Source organism: Homo sapiens, chromosome 11 (assembly GCF_000001405.40).
Source record: "Homo sapiens chromosome 11, GRCh38.p14 Primary Assembly".
In the NCBI taxonomy this organism is placed as follows: Eukaryota; Metazoa; Chordata; class Mammalia; order Primates; family Hominidae; genus Homo; species Homo sapiens.
This window is the reverse complement of record NC_000011.10, coordinates 96,059,311-96,078,909: the sequence shown is the minus strand read 5'-3', so window position 1 is coordinate 96,078,909 and position 19,599 is coordinate 96,059,311. Positions and strand designations below refer to the sequence as shown.

Sequence of the window (19,599 nt, the reverse complement as noted above, 5' to 3'; positions counted from 1 at the left end):
AATTTGAATTGATATCCTTGTTGGAAACAAAGCAGAATAGTAAGCACAAAGAGTAGAGACATAGGATAGGATTTAAAATGAATGAAAGAAGGTAGAATCATTACTTTTTAGTGGATAATTTACTGACAGGTCTCATGTGCAAGCACCAACAGTACCATTGATGTATTCCATTTATGCTGGCACAGCTGAAGCCCTCTGATTGCTTTTCTCACCTAGACATGGCTCTCATTAATCAAGGGAAGTTGCATAGACTAGAACAAGAAGACAGTTTTGTCGACACACTTCCAGCACTGTTCTCTAGCAGCATTTCGTTCCTGTTCCGGTATCATTGCTCTCAGAAGCAGAAGCCCTTTCATTTAGTTAGAAATTAGCAGTAGATACCTGCTCTCTGAACCGTCTCTGATTTTGAGTGTTGAGTTCCAGAAATTCATTTTGAATTCAGTTGTTTGGCATTTCTGGTACAGATTTTCCTGTAGGAACAATTTAAAGAAAGTGCATTAAGTCCTCCTGCTAGCCTATCCAAAGTCTGTTTGACTTATATGACATTGAACTATCTATGATTGAACTATCCATGATAACACAGTGTACTATCCATGATAACACAGTGTACTATCCATGATTTCTAGAATATTACATTCTTTTAAAAAGAAGAGATGTGTTCAGTGTACACTGATTGAGCCAGGCATGGTGGTGGAATGAGAAATACAATCTATTTAGTGAAATGGAAAATTGCAGGACAAGAGAGAAATGTAAGTCCCAGATGTGCACAGAGCACTTTGCTATGGAAACCACAGAGAAGGGGCATCCACCTCAGCCTGGCTCCAGGTTCGAAATGGAGAGACTATGAGCATTTTCAGCTGCACTCTCATAGAAGAGAGGAACAATCCTTCAGACCAGGGGAAGACAGAAAAGGAGACTGGCCAGAAGAACACCTGGGAGGGAGCACAGAGCTCTTCATTCCCAGGGGTTCTTTATAGCATGGACATTTACAGTGTAGGTACTGCCCAAATGCCCATCCACACCAGTGTTAGGGACTGAATTTTGTTTATTTCATTTATCAAGATATAATAGTTTTGAGTCATCAGTTGTATTTCTATAGCCTATAAAAAGAGCACCAGGCAAGGCAGGGCCCACCACCGCTGCAGCCACACCCAGAGTCTTCCCCATCCTGTACTGTGGACTCCACATCAGACCTGGGAGGCAGGACTCAGTGGATGAGGCTGTGTTTTGCATTTCTGAGTACAGTCCACAAAATGGTTTGCTTCTGAAAAAGCAGTAGTAGTCTTACATCCAAGATTATTCCTAAAATAAAGTTTCGACCCACATATATAATGAAATTGAAACTGCCTACATTGGCAAAGCCAGAAAGAGAGTAAAAAAGATGGGGTAGGCCAGTTGCGGTGGCTCATGCCTGTAATCCCAGTACTTTGGGAGGCTGAGGCGGGTGGATGACTTGAGGTCAGGAGTTCAAGACCAGCCTGGCCAACATAGTGAAACCCTGTCTCTACCAAAAATACAAAAATTAGCTGGGCATGGTGGCGTATGCCTGTAGTCCCAACTGCTTGGGAGGCTGGGGCAGGAAAATCACTTGAACCCAGAAGGCAGAGGTTGCAGTGAGCCTAGATCGCACCACTGCACTCCAGCCTGGGTGACAGAGCGAGACTGTCTTTAAAAAAAAAAAAAAAAAAAAGAGAGAGAGAGTTGGGGTAAAAAGTCAGAAAGAGAGATCCCAAGGGAGAAATAAAAGGAAATTTGAGCCAAAAAATGCATTTCTGATGATCTCTTCTGCTGTATAAAGATACTTTATAAGGCAATTTTAACTCTGATAACTTGCCCATTTCTGTTTGCAGAAGGAAGTCAGTCATTCTCACAAATATCTCCATTTGTTTTTCCTCCTTGTATTTCATTCAATTTTGTGGGGAAGGGTTGGAGGGCCCAATTTTGCTATTGTAAAATTGTTTCTCATTTTTCTGAACACTTGAAATGGGGTCAGATCTAAATGGCTATGAATGCAACATGGATCCAAAGGCCCAAAGGTCAGGTCCCACTTGGACAATTTTGATATGTAAAGTGCTGCTAACATTCATTTATAGACAGCAGCAAGAAGTATGAGCTGTGGCCTGGTGAAGATTCACATAGATCTCATTTTCCTCATATTCAGAGCAAGACGTTCCCAACTGTCTGTGGGTCTGCATGAGTTGTGGGGTGTGGGAGACCCCTCTATTGTCCCCTTTGAGTGTACATATTCTGTAGTGAAGCCAGAGGCAAATGTGTGAGAACCTCCCCAGGCTGTTCCTTGGGAGTGAGGGCAGCCCTGACTTCCATGGGAATGGGATTCCCTGCCAAATTCAGATGCCGAGGCTTCCCTCAGGGACCACAGCCCATCCGAGTGGAGGAAGTTGCTGTGAGAAGTTAAGCAGGCAGCTCTGAAGGGCTGTGTGTGTGTGTGTGTGTGTGTGTGTGTGTGTGTGTGTGTGAGAGAGAGAGAGAGACAAAAGAGAGCAGCCTTGCCCCATTGCTTGCATTATAGTACACATGGAATCAATTTTAAATTTCACAGAAAGAAAACAGTAAACAGAGTAAGAGGGGAGCTGGTGTGTCTCTCCAAGGTTGGTGTGTCTCTCCAAAGCTGGTGTTTCTCTCCAAGGCTGGTGTTTCTGCTCATGCATACAATACATGATGCACACCATTCATACCTCCAGGTTTTACACATATTTCTTTCACCCCTGAGCATCTGTGAGACTCAGCTTGATGATATTTCAAACGACTATGAGGATCACACCTCTTGGCAAAAGGCAGAATAACTTTCTGTTGTAATATTTTAAATTAAGAGTTTCTTCTATCTAGGCCTTGCAGGAGAGAGGAGAATGTATTAACAAATTTATTCTGAAAGTAGAGATGTGGGAGATATGTGATCCACAAAGCAGGGCCACCCAAGGTTCACTTCAGTGTTCACGTTTGGGGAAGCATGAGAATGTCACATAGCAAGGCCAACTGGCTCAAATGTATTAGCATACAATCAATATGCAAGGCGCTATCTGAATGCCGATTAGTAAGAGTCACATTGACCATGGTAGCAGATGACACATTAAACAGTATGATACCAGCCACAAACCTCACTAGCTTTTCCAGTAACCTGAAAAGACAAAGAAAAAGAGAACTTGGGGAAACTCCTATTCATCAGTCAGGTTTCCCCTTAAACATCACTTCCTTTGGGAAGCCACTCAGACAAATCCACCCCCACCCGACTTCCCCTAGCTCAGCTCTTCTCTTCTTTTACATTATACCTTCCAGAATTATCTGTCTTCCCTCTTTCAGTCCCCAGCACCCAGCACACTCCCTAGCACTCTGTAGGCACTTAAATATGTGTTCGATGGTTGATGGAATATTATTGGCTTGTGTTAGGTCTTGGAGGGTATGAAAATAGAGAAGATAGAATCCCTGCCCTGTCTGGGAAGGAGACAGACAGATAATAATAGACACCATACAATTTGTCAGACTTTGCAATGCTTGTAAGTACAGCTTCTCTAAAGGAGAACAAAAGGAAGGTTGAACTTCTGAGCACCTTAGTGATAAAACAGACCTACATTAGCTTCTTCTCTGATTCATTAATTTTACTGGTAAGAAATAATGAACAGAATCCTATTTCCTTACATTTCAAGTTTGCTACCAGGATAGCACAGTATCAATAATAATAGGCAATGGATTTCACTTGGGGGAATATTATGTCAGGAGGAAAACATGAAATATTATCAATATCCTCTCTAGGGAATCTATGTATTAGCTTTGTGATGTCTAACCTCGAATTTCTCACCTTCAGAACTGAAAGCAAATACATAATTGGATTTGCATTAAAGCTCTAAAAAGAGTGAAATTAAGAGTCACGCTCAAGTTTCCGGCTATGTTTCTTTGTTGCCTACTCCTTTTGCCACTCTGTCACTTAATTCATCTTTTTTTCCAGAGGAAAAATCAAAAGCAAAATATGCAACACCACTCCCTGCCCTCCAGTACTCCCACAGTATTATTTATTGACCACTCTGGGTGTGCTTGGCTTAACAGACAACAGAAAGGAAGTGAAGGCTCTTCCCTGAGGGTTTGCTGATGCGATTAGAGAGCCATTTAGAAAGATAACTCGAAATCTCAGACAGACACAGGAATCTAACTTTTATTCTGGTGTCAAAAATGATTTGAAACCTTTTTTGTATGATGACGTTTGTCAGTACTCCTTTTATTCCTCTCACAGCAGCCGGTGGGCGTCTCCATGCCTGATGCAGACAATATAGAATCCAAATGCAGTTGCAAAGGTGAATGACTTCAGGTGGCTTTGCGCCGCCATCGTCATCTGCACAAAATGTGGACTGACCATGGATCTTTCCTCCATATTAACCTCTCCAAGAATAGAATCTATTGAAGACATGAATCTTTTGATAGCATTTCCTTGGGGTTTTGGGAGAGAAATTACATCTTGCAGATATCTGATGAAACTCTCATGTGACCAAAAAGACTGCAAATAAGAGTTTGATAAACAGAAAACAACATGACAATAGTTTCTGGGTAACTCTTTGAACTTGTTAGGTACAGCATATACTGTCCTTCACACACCTGCTGTATTTTGAGAATCTGAGCTTATCGAAAGCCACACGGCATCAGTGGAACTGACTAGCTGGGTGACTGCATGCAAGCAGTTAGCCACTCTGCCTCAGTTTCCCTAAAAATACAATGAAATGGATAGTCAGTTGAGTGGTCCTCAGACTTTTACATCTTATAGTATGGAAGCGGACATGGATTTGCTATATTTCATTTTTCTGTGTAAGTACATTAAAAATCAAAACTACTGCCTACTATTACCATCTTTCATGAAAAAAAATATTTTTTAGCCTGAAAGCATTGAGACGAACATAACCTCAGAGTAAGCGATGGTCCTTGAAAAGTGAATAAATTTAACGGTTTGGTAAATCCCTTGCATGAATCTTATTTTTTTCAGTTCCTTTAGCAAACAAAAACTTATTCAGAAATGAACACACGTCCACAGAACACCATTAGCCTGCACAATCTACACAGATCCTTTTACCTGTACATTCTAAGCACAATACTGGAACTTACCAAATAAGTAAATAAATAGCCAACCAGAGCCGTATCACCTTCTACTTTATTACAGTGTTGGTGTTAATATTTTACAGCACTCGGCTAACTGGAATGTGGAAGGCACTGCCAACCACATCATACTCTTTCCACCCAAGATAGTAGATCGGCTTCACTCCATTAAATCGTCATTGTCTTCAGCTGCCATGACTCCTTTAATTGGCTCACACCTGTAATCCCAGCACTTTGGGAGGCAGAGGCAGGTGGATCATGAGGTCAAGAGATCGAGACCATCCTGGCTAACACAGTGAAACCCCGTCTCTACTAAATATACAAAAAATTAGCCAGGCATGGTGGCGGGCGCCTGTAGTCCCAGCTACTTGGGAGGCTGAGGCAGGAGAATGGTGTGAATCCGAGAGGTGGAGCTTGCAGTGAGCTGAGATAGCACCACTGCACTCCAGCCTGGGCAACACAGCGAGACTGTCTCAAAAAAAAAAAAAAAAAAAGAAAAGAAAAGAAATGAATCTGCAACAAGGAATTCTAATTTTTTTAAATGGAGGAGGTGTCCAAGGGACAGGAGACTGTAAATGCCAAACAAAAGCTTTTATGCAAGGCTAAATTGGTGATTTTGCACAAAACTCACAAGTAAAAGATTTACAGCACAAAGAATGTAATACACTTCAGTTAAATTATTCAGTATTGTTACAGTATTAATGCTACAGCCCAAGTTTCATTGTGTAAATTAAATACACAGTCTGTTCCCTAAGATTGTACTTGGTTTCCATAATAGTTTTTTTAAGTCCTCACAGATTGGAAATATAAATATGGAAATTTATGATTATCAATAGTTTGAGCCAAATCCTAAGAGAAGGGGTTTGGACTGAGGTCTAAAAGTACTTAACTGAAATGGAGCCACCATGAGACAAGTTTAGTCTTGGAGGCACATGTAAGCGGGTGACAAATGGAGTTTATCATGTTGGGAGACTTGCGGATTTGCCTTCTTGTTTCCTTTGGCAGAGCAGGGTAAGAGGCCGGCTTTGGCGTCATTGCTTTAGACACACAGTCCTTTTGGCATGAGGTTGGATCTCTGGTCCCATCCAGGGTTCACTTTGTAATCAATCCGTCCTTAAAATGAGGTAGGTCTTTCAGTAAGTGGCCTTCTCCTTGACAGCGAGCTCTTTCAAGTTGAGGGGACTCCGTCTTCTTCCTTTTCTTCCTTACCTGCATGCCACCCTGTCCGTTGATGCAAAAGAGCTTACTTTATGTAAACTATGTAAATACTCAAATTTAGGTTCAGAATATCAGAGGTGGTGTGAATCTTAGAGACGTTTCTAGTAAAATCATTATTCCCTTTTTATATATGTAAGAGAAATTTAATAGCTTCTCTCTAAGTTCATTCACTACTCAGAAACCTGATTAGAACTGTGAACTTCTGATTTCAAGATCAATGCTGGATCCATTTGTATCCCCCAGTGAATCTCTAGAATTCGAGTATTAGCAAGTATGCAGGTAATATTGTATAAGAAACATGCAGTGCTCCATTAACCTATATGCAGTCAGGACATACCCTGAAGCAAAGTTTTAACTACACAGAAATGTGGCCTTAACCTTATAACAAGAGCTTTTTTTTTGGCAAGTGGGCTATGTAAGAACACTGCATGTTGGAAATAATGGTAGCCAGAGAGGAATTAGAGATATTCTATAGCTACTTGAAATTTTCAGTTTTTTAAAGAATAATTATTTCAAGGCTGAACTAATTAAGTACATTTCTACATCCTGTAAAATCTTACGCCCCACCTAACTTTAAAAAAAATACAATATACATTTTGAGGATTTATGGTATATTTGGCTCAACAATCAAGATAACTGAAGACGGACTCATCTCTAACAATCCAGCAGTGCAATTAGAGAAGTCTGCCTTAAGGGGTGATTTTTCTACAAAGACAGCCAATCTTCAAAATGGCCAGTGGCAATATGTTGTGTTGACCTGTTTTAATGTATCCCTCTATGTTAGGTATATGCAGGATGGACTGGGGAGGAAAAAGAAAAGAAGGCCTTTGGAGTAATAAAGATGGAGATGAGATTTGGTGACTGGAGAATTTAAAAATAAATTCCAGTGCACCTAAATATCCATGAGTCTTTTCAGTCTACCAGTCCATGAGGTTACAGAACATCAAGACCAGATTCTCACAGGTTACAACCTTTCTACTGCACCTTCTCATTTGAGAATTCCAATCCTGTTCAAAGTTACTCCTAACCCTCAACTATACCCCAGGTATTTGGGAGTCCAAAACAAGAGTTTGACAAGCTCTCCTAAATAGGAGCAACTGCTGAATACTAGCAGCTGCCACTCCAGGCTACACTGTGGGCCGACTGGCCAATACTGCCTGGAGCTACACGTCTCCATGGGCTGTGGATTTCAAAATAATTCCAAGTTTAGTGTGACATCTCTTTCATTTTCCACACAGCTCTTTCCTTTGCTAGGTCACATACAGCCAGGATGGCTGGTTCAGGACGGTTCCAGGTGCCAGTGCCATGCTGGCAAAATCACTGCCCTTTGACTCTGTGGTCTTATAGCTGAAGCACCCTGTTTATACCAGACTCTACAGTTCTTCATAGTTTTATTTCCTCGGGAAGCTCCAGTCCCTCCTGAAAACTTGGTTTCCTTTTGACTCTTGTCCCATTCTGCATATATGCCTAAATAACTGAAAATAAATTAGGAATACAGCTTAAGCCTCTACCCACCTTCTCCACTCAGAAGGCCCCTTAGCTTTCATGTAAATATCTAGAGGGAAGGCTCATCTATTTCCACCTGGCAGGTGTATTCAAATCTCAGCTACACAAGAGATGCTGAAGTAACAACAAATTAACCAGTGAAGACAGAGATACACAATAGGAAAAAGTCAAAGACCTTTTGTAGTTAGTACCCATGAGATTAAAATGAGATTTATTTGCTGCCTGCACTGAACACATAGCTGTGTGCATCCCATAGTTGTGTTACAGGATCCTTGAGGTGTGGCCTTTCAGGCCTGAAACCTCTGGCCAGTGGCACTTTTGCCTGAGTTTTGTTCGGCCCACTGGGCTTGTTCCGCCCACTCAGCAGGCTGTGCTCAGCTCACACTACCGACCTGGATCCCACACTTGCCAAGGGCAAGTCGCATGGAGCAGAAAAGGGTGTGTGAACGAGCACGGGGTCTGGCAACTGTGCAGGCAGACACGCCAGTGGGGTGGGCAGCTCCAGGTGCCTACACAGGTACCAGCTCTCTGCAAGGCTGCAGCTGGACCAGAGGCACTGCAAGCAGCTTCCCTGGCTAGCACCAGGGAACACAGTGGTGCCCAGAAGCTTGGAGATGACAGGCACCGCAGGACCCCAAAGAGGGAGTCCCAGCCCTGGCTTGGGAAGCTCCCAGGTCTGGGCTCCCTAAGGGGCTGCAGCTCTTCTCTCCTTCTCTTCACCTGCAATGTGGTGAACAAGGGGCATGTTTCAGCCCTGTTTTTGTTATGCCTTATTTATTTATTTATTATTTTTATTTTTATTGAAACGGAGTCTCGCTGTGTCGCCCAGGCTGGAGTGCAGTGGCGCCATCTCAGCTCACTGCAAGCTCTGCCTTCCGGGTTCACGCCATTCTCCTGCCTCAGCCTCCCGAGTAGCTGGGACTACAGGCGCCCGCCACCACGCCGGCTAATTTTTTGTATTTTTAGTAGAGACGGGGTTTCACTGTGTTAGCCAGGATGGTCTCGATCTCCTGACCTCGTGATCCACCTGCCTTGGCCTCCTTATTTATTTATTTATTTATTTATTTTTGAGACAGAGTCTCACTCTGTCACCAGGCTGGAGTACAGTGGCGTGATCTTGGCTCACTGCAACCTCCGCCTCTCAGGTTCAAGTGATTCCTCCTGCCTCAGCCTCCTAAGTAGCTGGGATTACAGGCACGCACCACCACACCCAGCTAATTTTTGTATTTTTAGTAGAGACGGGGTTTCACCATCTTGGCCAGGATGGTCTCCATCTCTTGACCTTGTGATCCGCCCGCCTCGGCCTCCCAAAGTGCTGGGATTACAGGTGTGAGCCACTGCGCCCTGCCTGTAATTAGATCTTCTAAAGTTACATTATTATTTATATGAATTTTATTATTTATTCATTTATTTTTGAGATAGGGACTCATTCTCTCACCCAAGCTGGAGTGCACTGGCATTATGGCGACTCACTGCCGTCTCAACCTCCTGGGCTCTAGTGATCCTCCCACCTCAGCCTCTCCAGTGGCTGAGAGACTACAGGCATGTGCCACGCCCGGCTAATTTTTGTGTACTTTTTTTGTAGAGATGGGGTTTTACCATGTTGCCCAGGCTGGTCTCAAACTTCTGGGCCGAAATGATCTGCCCACCTCGGCTTCCCAAAGTTTTGGGATTACAGGCGTGAGCCACCTCGCCCAGCCAATTTTGTTTATCTTAATTAAAAAATAGAAATGCTTCAAATAGTCACTATAGGTGAAAACAAAGGAAGAAAAAGGAGAAGAAAAGAAAGAAGGATAAAGACAAAGAAAGAGAAAAGAAAGAGAGGAAGGGAGGAAGGGAGGGAGGGAGGGAAAGGAAGAAAATAGGCCAGACTCAGTGGCTCACCCTTGTAATGCCAACACTTTGGGAGACCATGGTGGGAAAATTGCCTGAGGCCAGAAGTTACAGACCAGCCTGCACAGCATAGTGAGACCCCATCTCTACAAAAAAATTAAAAACTAGCTGGGCTGGTGGCACATGCCTGTAGCCTGTAGTCCTAGCTACTCATGAAGCTGAGACAGGAGGATCACATAAACCCAGGAGTTTGAGACCGCAGTGAGCTATGATCACACCACCACACTCCAGCCTAGATGGAAGAGGAAGACTGTCTCTTTAAAAAAAAAAAAAAAAAAAAAAAGGAGGGAAGAAGGAAGGAAAAATTATCGCTTCTTTTTTATCTATAGTTCTCAAGCTAAAATACATACCTTCTTTTTTTTTTTTTTTGAGAAGGAGTCTTGCTCTGTCGCCCAGGCTGGAGTGCAATGGCGCCATCTCAGCTCACTGCAAGCTCTGCCTCCTGAGTTCACGCCATTCTCCTGCCTCAGCCTCCTGAGTAGCTGGGACTACAGGTGCCTGCCACCATGCCCAGCTAATTTTTTTTGTATTTTTAGTTGACACGGGGTTTCACCGTGTTAGCCAGGATGGTCTCGATCTCCTGACCTCATGATCCGCTCACCTTGGCCTCCCAAAGTGCTAAAATACGTACTTTTAAAAAATGCCCAGGCTTACCCAAGACCAATTAAGTCAGAGTCTCTTCAGGTTGGGCCTCTCTCTCTCTCTCTCCCTCCCTCCCTCTGTGTGTGTGTGTGTGTGTGTGTGTGTGTGTGTGTGTGTGAAGTAAGCTCCCCCAGGAAATTCTACTGTGCATCAGAGCTGAGAACTGCTGTTCTAGGGGAAGTACCAAAAGTGAAGTTCATAGGTTCATAGACTTACTTTACCTCTGTATTTGAAAAGTCAGACTTTCTTCTGTAATATCAAAGACAACGAACCCAGGTCAATTATTGTAGTAGAGAAAGTCATAAGGGGGAAAATTATTTTTTCCATTGGCTGACTAAGGATTCTAGTGAAAACAGCTAATTTAATTGAGAAAAGACATTTCCTAAGTGAAGTGATATATGCATTATTATGACTCAGGATACTCAGATAATTAAGCAGTAACACTTTTGTTGACATTTAACTACATTAAGAAGAAAACTTGTTGAACCAGAAATGTCAGTGGGTGAGGGATTTTTAAAAAACGAACTTGGGCAGGTATTTTCTTCATAAAACTCTCTCTCTCAGGAAAAAATTTTCAATTTATTTGGCCCTATTTATAAACATGTTTGATTCTATCACCACCCTCAGGCCAACAAAGCAGGAAAAAAATGTTAGAATTCTGTACAAAGGTCAAGAAGACCTTTAAATCAGCAATTTGAAAACACAAGCTTGCAAAATATAATATTTGAAGTTGTTCTTTGGGAATGTATAAGTAATATGGGTTTGAAATGAAAATTAGAGCAAGAGAGGCAGTCACGGATATGCGTTGTCATGTCTCTGTTTTAATGTCCATATTAATGTGAAATATCATATTCAAATAACTCAATAGACCCTCAGTAGATTTCTCATAACAAATCTTTGCAGCAGTTCTAATGTTCTAAATCTGGTTTACCAATGACAGGTTTAAAAGATGATTTAAAAAAAAAACCAAATGGGATATAATTTCCAGGAGAAGTGTTTCATTTGTTGGGTCTTGACTTATCCTGCATAGAGTAAGAAGATCATGTGATAACTTTGTGTTTTAAAGGGTTGTTACTGAGATGATAGATTTACTCTCTGAAATAGAAACATTACTGTTATAAGGCTATGCTGTTGGCTGCAAGAAACACGTTTGCTTGGATAGAAATGGCCTTTGTTACTTCTCTAAATGTGTGCTCTGTTGGCGGAAGAAGGCATTTTGAAAGGCAGTCCGTGTCTTGAAGAGTTGTTTTTAAAAGAGTGTCAGGCTACACTGGACAGATGAACATTGATTCTGGAGATGCTATGGCTTGAGAAAAATGCATGCAAATGGTAGCTACCAGCAGAAGAAACAGTTCTGAAGGGCAAGGCTAGTGTTTTGGTTTGGGAAGGCATGTTAGGTGTTGTTTGTGATATGTCACAAGGGACTCTGGCTATGTGTTCTGTGATGTCTCCTCCCCACTCAGAACCCTCCACTGGTTTCCCATCTCACTAGGTGTGAAAGGCAAAGTCCTCACAGGCCCTACAAGATCTGCCTACCACATCATGCATGCGTGTGCACACACACTGCCCACTGCTCCTACCACAGCTCCCTCCGCTCTCTCTATTTCTCTATCCTCCAGCCGCTCCTGCCTTCCCAGAATGCACCAAGTACAAGCCCATCTCAGAGTCTTTGCTCTTTCCTTTCCCCCTGCACCTCTCTTCTTTTTACCTGGGTTTATTTGTCTCCATAGCCTTTATCACCTTTGGACATTCTGTTCTATTTACTTGTGTTTTTGTTAGTATCTGTCTGTCTTCACTAGAAGTTAAGCACCATGAAAGCTGCAGCCTTCCTAGTTTTGTTCACTGTCATATTCCTAGCACCTCAAAGGGTTTCTGGCACATAATAAATGTTTAATTAATATTTGCTGAAAAATAAAAGACTTTTCATCCTACTCTTTATTATAATTCATTCCTATGGGATTCAATGGACTCTGGTCTCACTTTAGGTCTAAACTCTTATCCAAGGAAACATCATTAGATTCAACATCAATATAGAGTAAGTGTCTAAATATAGGTAGCTCAAGGCCAAGTGTGTGTTGTCCAGTCCACCTATATAATTTTATTCATCCTCTGTGTCCCTTCTCCCACACACATTGAGCCACAGTGGGCAGAGGGTCCTTTGAGGATGGAGACCTTGATCTTCTCCCGCTTCAGGAGCTTCTGTCCTCCCCTGGACAAAGATGGGGCTCTGCCTTGTGCCCTCAGAATGTCAGTGTGTGCCAGCCCCAGTGAGTCATTTAACACGATGACACTATTTACAGACTCATTGGCACTATTGGTGACAGGACCCTTCAGCACTGATGCTTAGATCAGCAAGGACTAGGCAGTGATAGGAAGGGCCAGCCTTGGGCTTAAGGAAAACAAGATACCTCTTCCTACACCCTGTGGAAAAGATTCCTGAAGGACCACTGGTGTGGCTGCTTGTTGAGCTCCAGAGCCATAAGAGGGGTAATTAGGTGATTAGCAGTCATTGACACTTTTCTTGGAGCGAGTTTTCAGTCTTTCTTTAGAAGAGATTGGGGAGAAAAGGGGGATTCGATGCAGGAGAATGTGTGGATCAAAGCCCAACCTAACCAGTTTCCTATTGCGCCTGGGCCCAGCACAAGAGCAGGTGGAATGCTGGGAGCCTGCCCTATCCCAGCAGCACCAGCTCTGCCATGTTCTCCCAGTGCAAGGCAGCACAGAGCAGCAACTGACAGCCTCAGCTTTGTAGTCAGATGGGCTCTGGTTCAAATCCTGGCTTTGTCAATTCCTAGCTGTGTGACCGTCATCAAGGTACCTAAATTCTCTGTGTTCCATCACTGTAAAATGAGAATAATACCCACCACACATGATTGTTATAAGGATTAAGTAATACCACTTATGACAAGCAGTTACTGTAGTTCCTGGCATATAAAAAGGTCACAATAAATGGCAACTCCCAGAATCAGACAAGACCTGGATCATCCTTTATGAATACTAGAGAGATTTATGGAATGAATCATGATTCTTCTTGCTAGATTCTCTAAGTTGTTATCCAAATAACTTTGGGAAGCTAACAGCTAAACCAGGGTTCTTTGCTCTATTTTCTTTCCTGTGTGTGTGTGTGTGTGTGTGTGTGTGCATGCACGCACGCATGTGCACTAGAGAGAGAAAGGGAGAGAGTGCTGTATACCAGGACTGACACAGGAGATATTTTTTTAAAATCACATACTTTGCCCTGATATGCCATGGAAACTAACAATTGCTATCCTGGGTATATTACAAGAACTTCTCTCTATTTTTTTATATTTGCTTTGGAATAAATATTTGATAAAACGAGGGCAATTTTCATAGCAACTTTTCTTGAAGCTTTTTAAAATGTAATTAAGCATTTTAAAATCTATCAGATATATTCAGAACATTTCCCAAATTGTTTTCTTAAAGATCAATTTTGTTCAGATACTTTAGGTTCTGGGGAAAAGCTATTTTCTGTCCACTTTGACACAAAAACATTCCTTCTAGTTTTTTAAGAACACAGTACTTTGTTGAGATGTTGGCTTCTTGGTTTATGGCATGAATTCTAATCACTTTTAAACTTCTAACTTTTATTCTACACTTAGAGTTCAAGCAAAATGACAATGATCAAGTTTATAAAATATAAAACTTCTATATGAAAAGCGAGAAAAAATCAGTTGTTTCCAAGATTATGTTAACATTAATAATTAAAACCAATTGAAGATTTATTTTGTGCTAGGCACTGTTCTAAGCACTTTACATTGTTAGTTCCTTTCACCCTCACACGCTATTTTGAAGAAGATACTGTTACCCTCCACATTTTATGACACACTGAAGTGCATGTGGGTTAATTAACTTACACAAAATCATGCACTTGGTATAGTCCACAGTCTGAATATATTGCCCTCTACAAATATAATAGTGAACTTTATTATTCGTAGAAAAGAATACTGAGGTGGAAAGATCCCCAAAGATTTGCCAAAGATGCATAGCTATAAGGTCAGAGTAAGGACTTGAACTTAGTAACATCTGAATCCAAAGTTTGGGCTCTTCATATATACATATACAACTATTTTTCCACATTCGGACAAACTATCAGAATAACTTACATAAATGTTTTATCAAATGTTCCTTCTTAGAGAATCTGAGGGAACATTAGAAGTCCTCTTGTCTAATGAATATTTTCTAGAGGAGACATGACCAGTGAACTTATTATTTTCTAGAGCGGACTTGACCAATGGCCACCTAGCTTTTGCTTCCATCCATCTGCCCAGGAACACAGATGATCCATCCAGGAACACAGATGGTTCATTACTGAATCACCCTGCTGGTTGGGAATTTTCTTATATTGAGGTGCTGTGCTGTGACCTAATTTTATATTTTTCGTAATTTGTAGGGTAAATATTGCCGTGCTTAGGAGCCTTGGTACTAACCTGGCATTACACTGAATCATGTATCTTCAGGAAAATAGAGTTAGAAGGCACTGTACAACAACATCCTACAGCCAGCCAATCAGGAGGCTTGGAAATCTTAGGTAAAAGATGTCCTGGCCATTCTTGGCTTATTTTACAGACATGAACTCATCTCACTTCTAATCACACAGGGAGCATCTGAACAGAACTGAGGCCCTTGGTTGAACTCTAGTCCTGCAGACATCGTATCAACAGGCAAAAAAGAATATTTAGACTAAATTTGCAAATCAAATGCAATAACAGAGAGATTCTCAAACTGGAAGAAGCTGATATAGTCACAAGTTTTTACACTTTTTTGTTTTGTTTTGTTTTTAATGAGCATTTATTGGGTAGTTATTTGAGAAACAATATAGCTCCATAAAAAGCCATAGGCTTTGGAGTAAGCATCCCTCAGCTCATTTGGAGCTAGGTATCCTGGGCAATTAGCAACCTCTCTAAGATTTGATTGCCTCTTTTCTATAAATAGGAGTAATATTACATATTATGGGTAATAATGGGACTACTGTGATGATTTTGTAACATAATGTGTATAAAGTATTTAACATGCTCATCGATACATAGTTACTACTCAGTCCATGGTGGTTATTAATCATTCACTTAATCAAAAAATAAAATTTATTGAGTTCTTATATAGTAGAACCATGCATTCAAGCTACATGCCCCAGGCACTGTGGGTACAGTGCTAAAAAGGCAGAGACAGCCCCTAACTTCTCAGAACCTGCAGTCTAGCTGGGAAAACCAATACTGAGTGAGTAATAAAACAAAGAACAAGTTATGAGAGGGAGAAGCATAAAAGAGTGTGCAGATGCATAACTCTGAGGTTAAGGAAGGGGCCCCTACAGAAGATTGTGAACCCTGAGGACAGAGTCAGCAACAGAGGTGGAGATAGGTGTACAGCATGTCCCAGGCCAAGGAGCAATGCGTGCAAGGCCAAGAAGTGAGACAGCAGGAATGTACTGGGAAAGAAAAATCACCAAAGTGCCAGAGAGGTGGACAGAGGGGTGGACTGAGACGGGCACCAAATCATAAAAGACTTTGTATGAGTATAAGCCATACTAAAGAGTTTGTTTTGGGTTTTATCCTAAAATCAATGGGAAGCCATTGAAAAAGCTGTTATTAGGTTGGGGGGTTGGCAACATAATCATATTTGGCTTCAGTATAATAGAGATGAGTAAGACACAGTCCCTTGTCATCGAAACAATATAATCTCATGGCGGCAGAAGTTGAAGGGGTCACAGTTAAAGAAGGCTCAGGAACAAAAAATGTTCTTAGGTACAAAATTCTAGGTGAAATTTTTAAAAAGGGAGTGACCACATCTCTGTGATGTGACATTTGAAACAGATGTTAAAAATGGACTGGGCACCCTTTGGATAAGGAGAGCTGCTGGTGGGAAGGGGCGCTGCCTCCTGGATATCCTGTCTAAGAGGTAAAATTAGCAGGCATACTCTTAAAGTGCTCCCAGCTTTGTTAACTGGATTCTACATTTCCCTTCCTTCCACCACTCCATATTTCAGAATCCCTTTGAGAGAAAACTCTGCCACCCTTATTGTAGCCCCTAAAATCCACATTCTGTAAATTGTAAATCATTACCATGTGTATTTCCCTCCTCCACTGTTACAAGGTTATTTCCAGCTGGATGCCTATGTAAGCTTATAGCTTTGCAGAGCACTTCCTATACACCCCCTCCAGCTGTGAACTTTTTACCTGCACTTCACTGCAGTGTCTACATGCTTATTGAGAAGTTAAAACAGTACAGGAAATACTACATCATCTCACTGGCATTACCAGTTAAATCTCCTAATGTCTGGGCAATATGAGGTTGAGGCACTTATTATAAATGCCACATCACAGTTGTAGTAATTTTCTGTTTCCTTTGAGTCACTCCATGTAACACAAACCAAGGCAAAAAAAAAGTACCATACTCCAACCTTCCCTTTCAACTTATTTTATCTTAATTGATTAAATTTATCAGAAAAGACTACTAAAGTGGTAGAATGTTTTAAGATGATTAAAATCATCATTTTTTCTTTAAAATATGCACTTTTTTCTATAAATAATGCTTAAAGTGGAACTCGTCTCTCATAGTATGATAGTTTCGCATTTTGCTATGTGGTTTATATTCAGTGAAATGTCTATGCTGAACAAAGCTTTCACGTTAAACATCTGATTCACCTTACTTGGAATGTATATCTATGAGGTGTATTAAGAGTAAGCAGGATAAATTTAAGATACTTTCCCCTAACAGAAAGAAAAATTAAGATATTAAAAAAAAAGGAAAAGAAGAAGGGAAGAAGAAAAAGGAGGAAAGAAAAGGAAAAAGGAAAGTTTTGTTTGAAATGGAAATTTCTTATCTGAAAAAATTACTTTTGAAATTCTGAATTACGGGTTGTTATGCCTTTTATCTAGGAGGAAAGTGGCCTGTCTTGTAGGATTTGTGGATCTTCTGCTCTTTATTCATGTCATGACATTCTGATGTCAAAAATGGGCTGGTAGTAGGCACCTATATTCCAAGGAAGCAATTCTGATTTCTGGTTTCTCTCTATTTTAACAATTGATGCACTTAACAGGGAACCGTATTTATCTTCTCAAATTTATTTTCACCTTTATATTTTCCTCTCCTGAGACATTGTTCAGAAAAAGGAACCTGCATTGCATGGCTTTCCTGCCTCCAGCTCATTTCAAACAGCATTCAGTCACCTTCAGATGCACACACTGTCATGTGAACTTCTGTCCTTCACCCAACTGTTGAAATTGCACCATCTCTGCATCCAGAAAAGCCAGAGGGGAAGAATAATCCAAGCAGACTACTTCTGGTAATCAAAAGAATAACTGTCATTTTGCTTAAGACAAATTCACAGGATTTCTAAATGAATCCCTTATGTGAATATTTTCTTGGGAATTCGACAACCTGCAGAGAAGTTCCTTAAGGAGAAATCATAGAACAAACAATTATTGTTCCCGATCATCAGATACACAGGAGCACAGCTGCCCTTCATTTTGCTTTCTTTCATGTATGTGTCTGTTTATATTTCAGAGCCAGAATAACTTGGGGATTAAGAAAGCTCGTTCTAGGTCCACTTTCTCATCAGACCCAGAGATCACTAAACCTCTTGAGTTCTCAGTCTCTCTTTCTATGACATGGAAGAATGCTTCTTTAGACTGGCCTCATGAAAAACAAGTTATGTTTTTAAAAAAACAGAATTATATTATCCATTGAGCTACTGCTTTGTTACAGTATTAAAAGGAAGAACTCTTAGATCTCAGCCACAAGACTACCATCTAATAAACTAAAACTTGGCAGTGATTTTAAAGAGGTGATTTTATTGCCAAAGAACCCTAATTTTCTCCCAGGGAGTAGTAGCATTGAAATGGCACTTTGGTCTCCAAAAAGAAGGCCTCAGCTTTAACGAATTGCAGCACATTTGTACTCACAGAAGTGTGCTACCGTGCAATTTTCACTTAAATTCCCACTTTCTTCTCATTAGGTCTTTTCATTTAGATCTGGGGCCTCTGTGCATGCTTCAGTGTTTCTGTTATATTTGAAATGTCATAAAATAGATATGTGGGTGATTTTGTACTGGGCGATAACATAAATAGTGATCTTTTCTGGAAAAAAAAAAATAGAACAAATGGTCTAACAAGTCCGGATCCACGTATAGAGACATAGGGACAAAAAATTGTAAATTGAGGAAGTCATTTTAAATAACACAAGAATAGGTTCCAAATCAATTGAATCCTGTTTGGTATATTAGAAACATCACTGGTTTACTGTACTGTAAAATTTACTAGTTTTTCTGAAAAGCTTAACTGCATGTTTTGTCTACTTAAAATGGTGCCAGAAAATTTAATCATACATTTCTTTAGTTATTGCATTTATAACCTTACAAAACGATTTTCAACTTGAACACATAAAGTTCTTGCCTCACTTTACCATAACAGCTTCTACCACATGAAGCTCTTATTCCTTCATGCCTTTGTGCTGTTCCCTGGACCTGAAGTACTCTTCCTCTTCCCTCTTGGCTTTATTCAACCAACTAGACCCACTAGCTTATTGAACATCTTCGCCTTCAGCAGAGATAAATGTTAGGATCCCCCAGCACCTTTTAGCATATTTCTCTTTTAGCACTTAACACATTGATCTAGTGGTTTACTTACAATCCTACATCTCCCTTGGGGCTGTCAGATGCTCAAGGGCAAGGACCACTTTTCTTCCATCCTTAAGTACTTCGTGACTAGGAAAATGTCTATCCCATGACCAGTTCCCAATAAACATTTTTGAAATGCAGGTTGAGTATCCCTAATCCAAAAATCCAAAATTCAAAATGCTTCAAGATCTCAAACTTTTTGAGTGCCGACATGATGTTCAAAGGAAATGCTCATTGGAGCATTTTGGTTTTCAGATTTTTGGATTAGGATGCTGAACTGGTAAGAATAATGCAAATATTCCAAAATCCTCCCCACCCCCAAAAAAGAGAAATTTGAATCACCTCTGGTCCCTAGTATTTCAGATAAGGGATACTCAACTTGTACACGAAATAGGATAGTTTTATTCACTTCTATGTTTATTACATAACATTGACTTCTTTCTGTTTTCCTCAACCTTACAATTTATCATAAACCATGCACAGAGAACAAGAAAGTAGGGGTTTTAAAAATCTGACTCAAAGTCTGCAAATGGACAAGGAATGAGCTACAATCCAGATTGATTTTTTAAACTATTGCTTTTTATCTACTCACCTATGGCCATGCAGCTCTTATT

At 40.8% G+C, this 19,599-nt stretch overlaps 1 protein-coding gene across 3 annotated transcripts in view, besides 1 other annotated feature; it reads left to right on the top strand.

Annotated features, from left to right (window-relative positions):
* MAML2 (mastermind like transcriptional coactivator 2) overlaps positions 1–19,599 on the top strand; it is a 366,598-nt gene that overhangs the window by 264,286 nt on the left and 82,713 nt on the right. The gene's annotated exons all lie outside the window — the stretch shown is intronic.
* Positions 2,976–3,035: a silencer, noted in NCBI's record as "silent region_3852". NCBI's record gives its function as "represses an Ori minimal core promoter by ATAC-STARR-seq in GM12878 lymphoblastoid cells {active_cell/tissue: GM12878}" and the evidence as "EXISTENCE:reporter gene assay evidence [ECO:0000049][PMID:35858748]".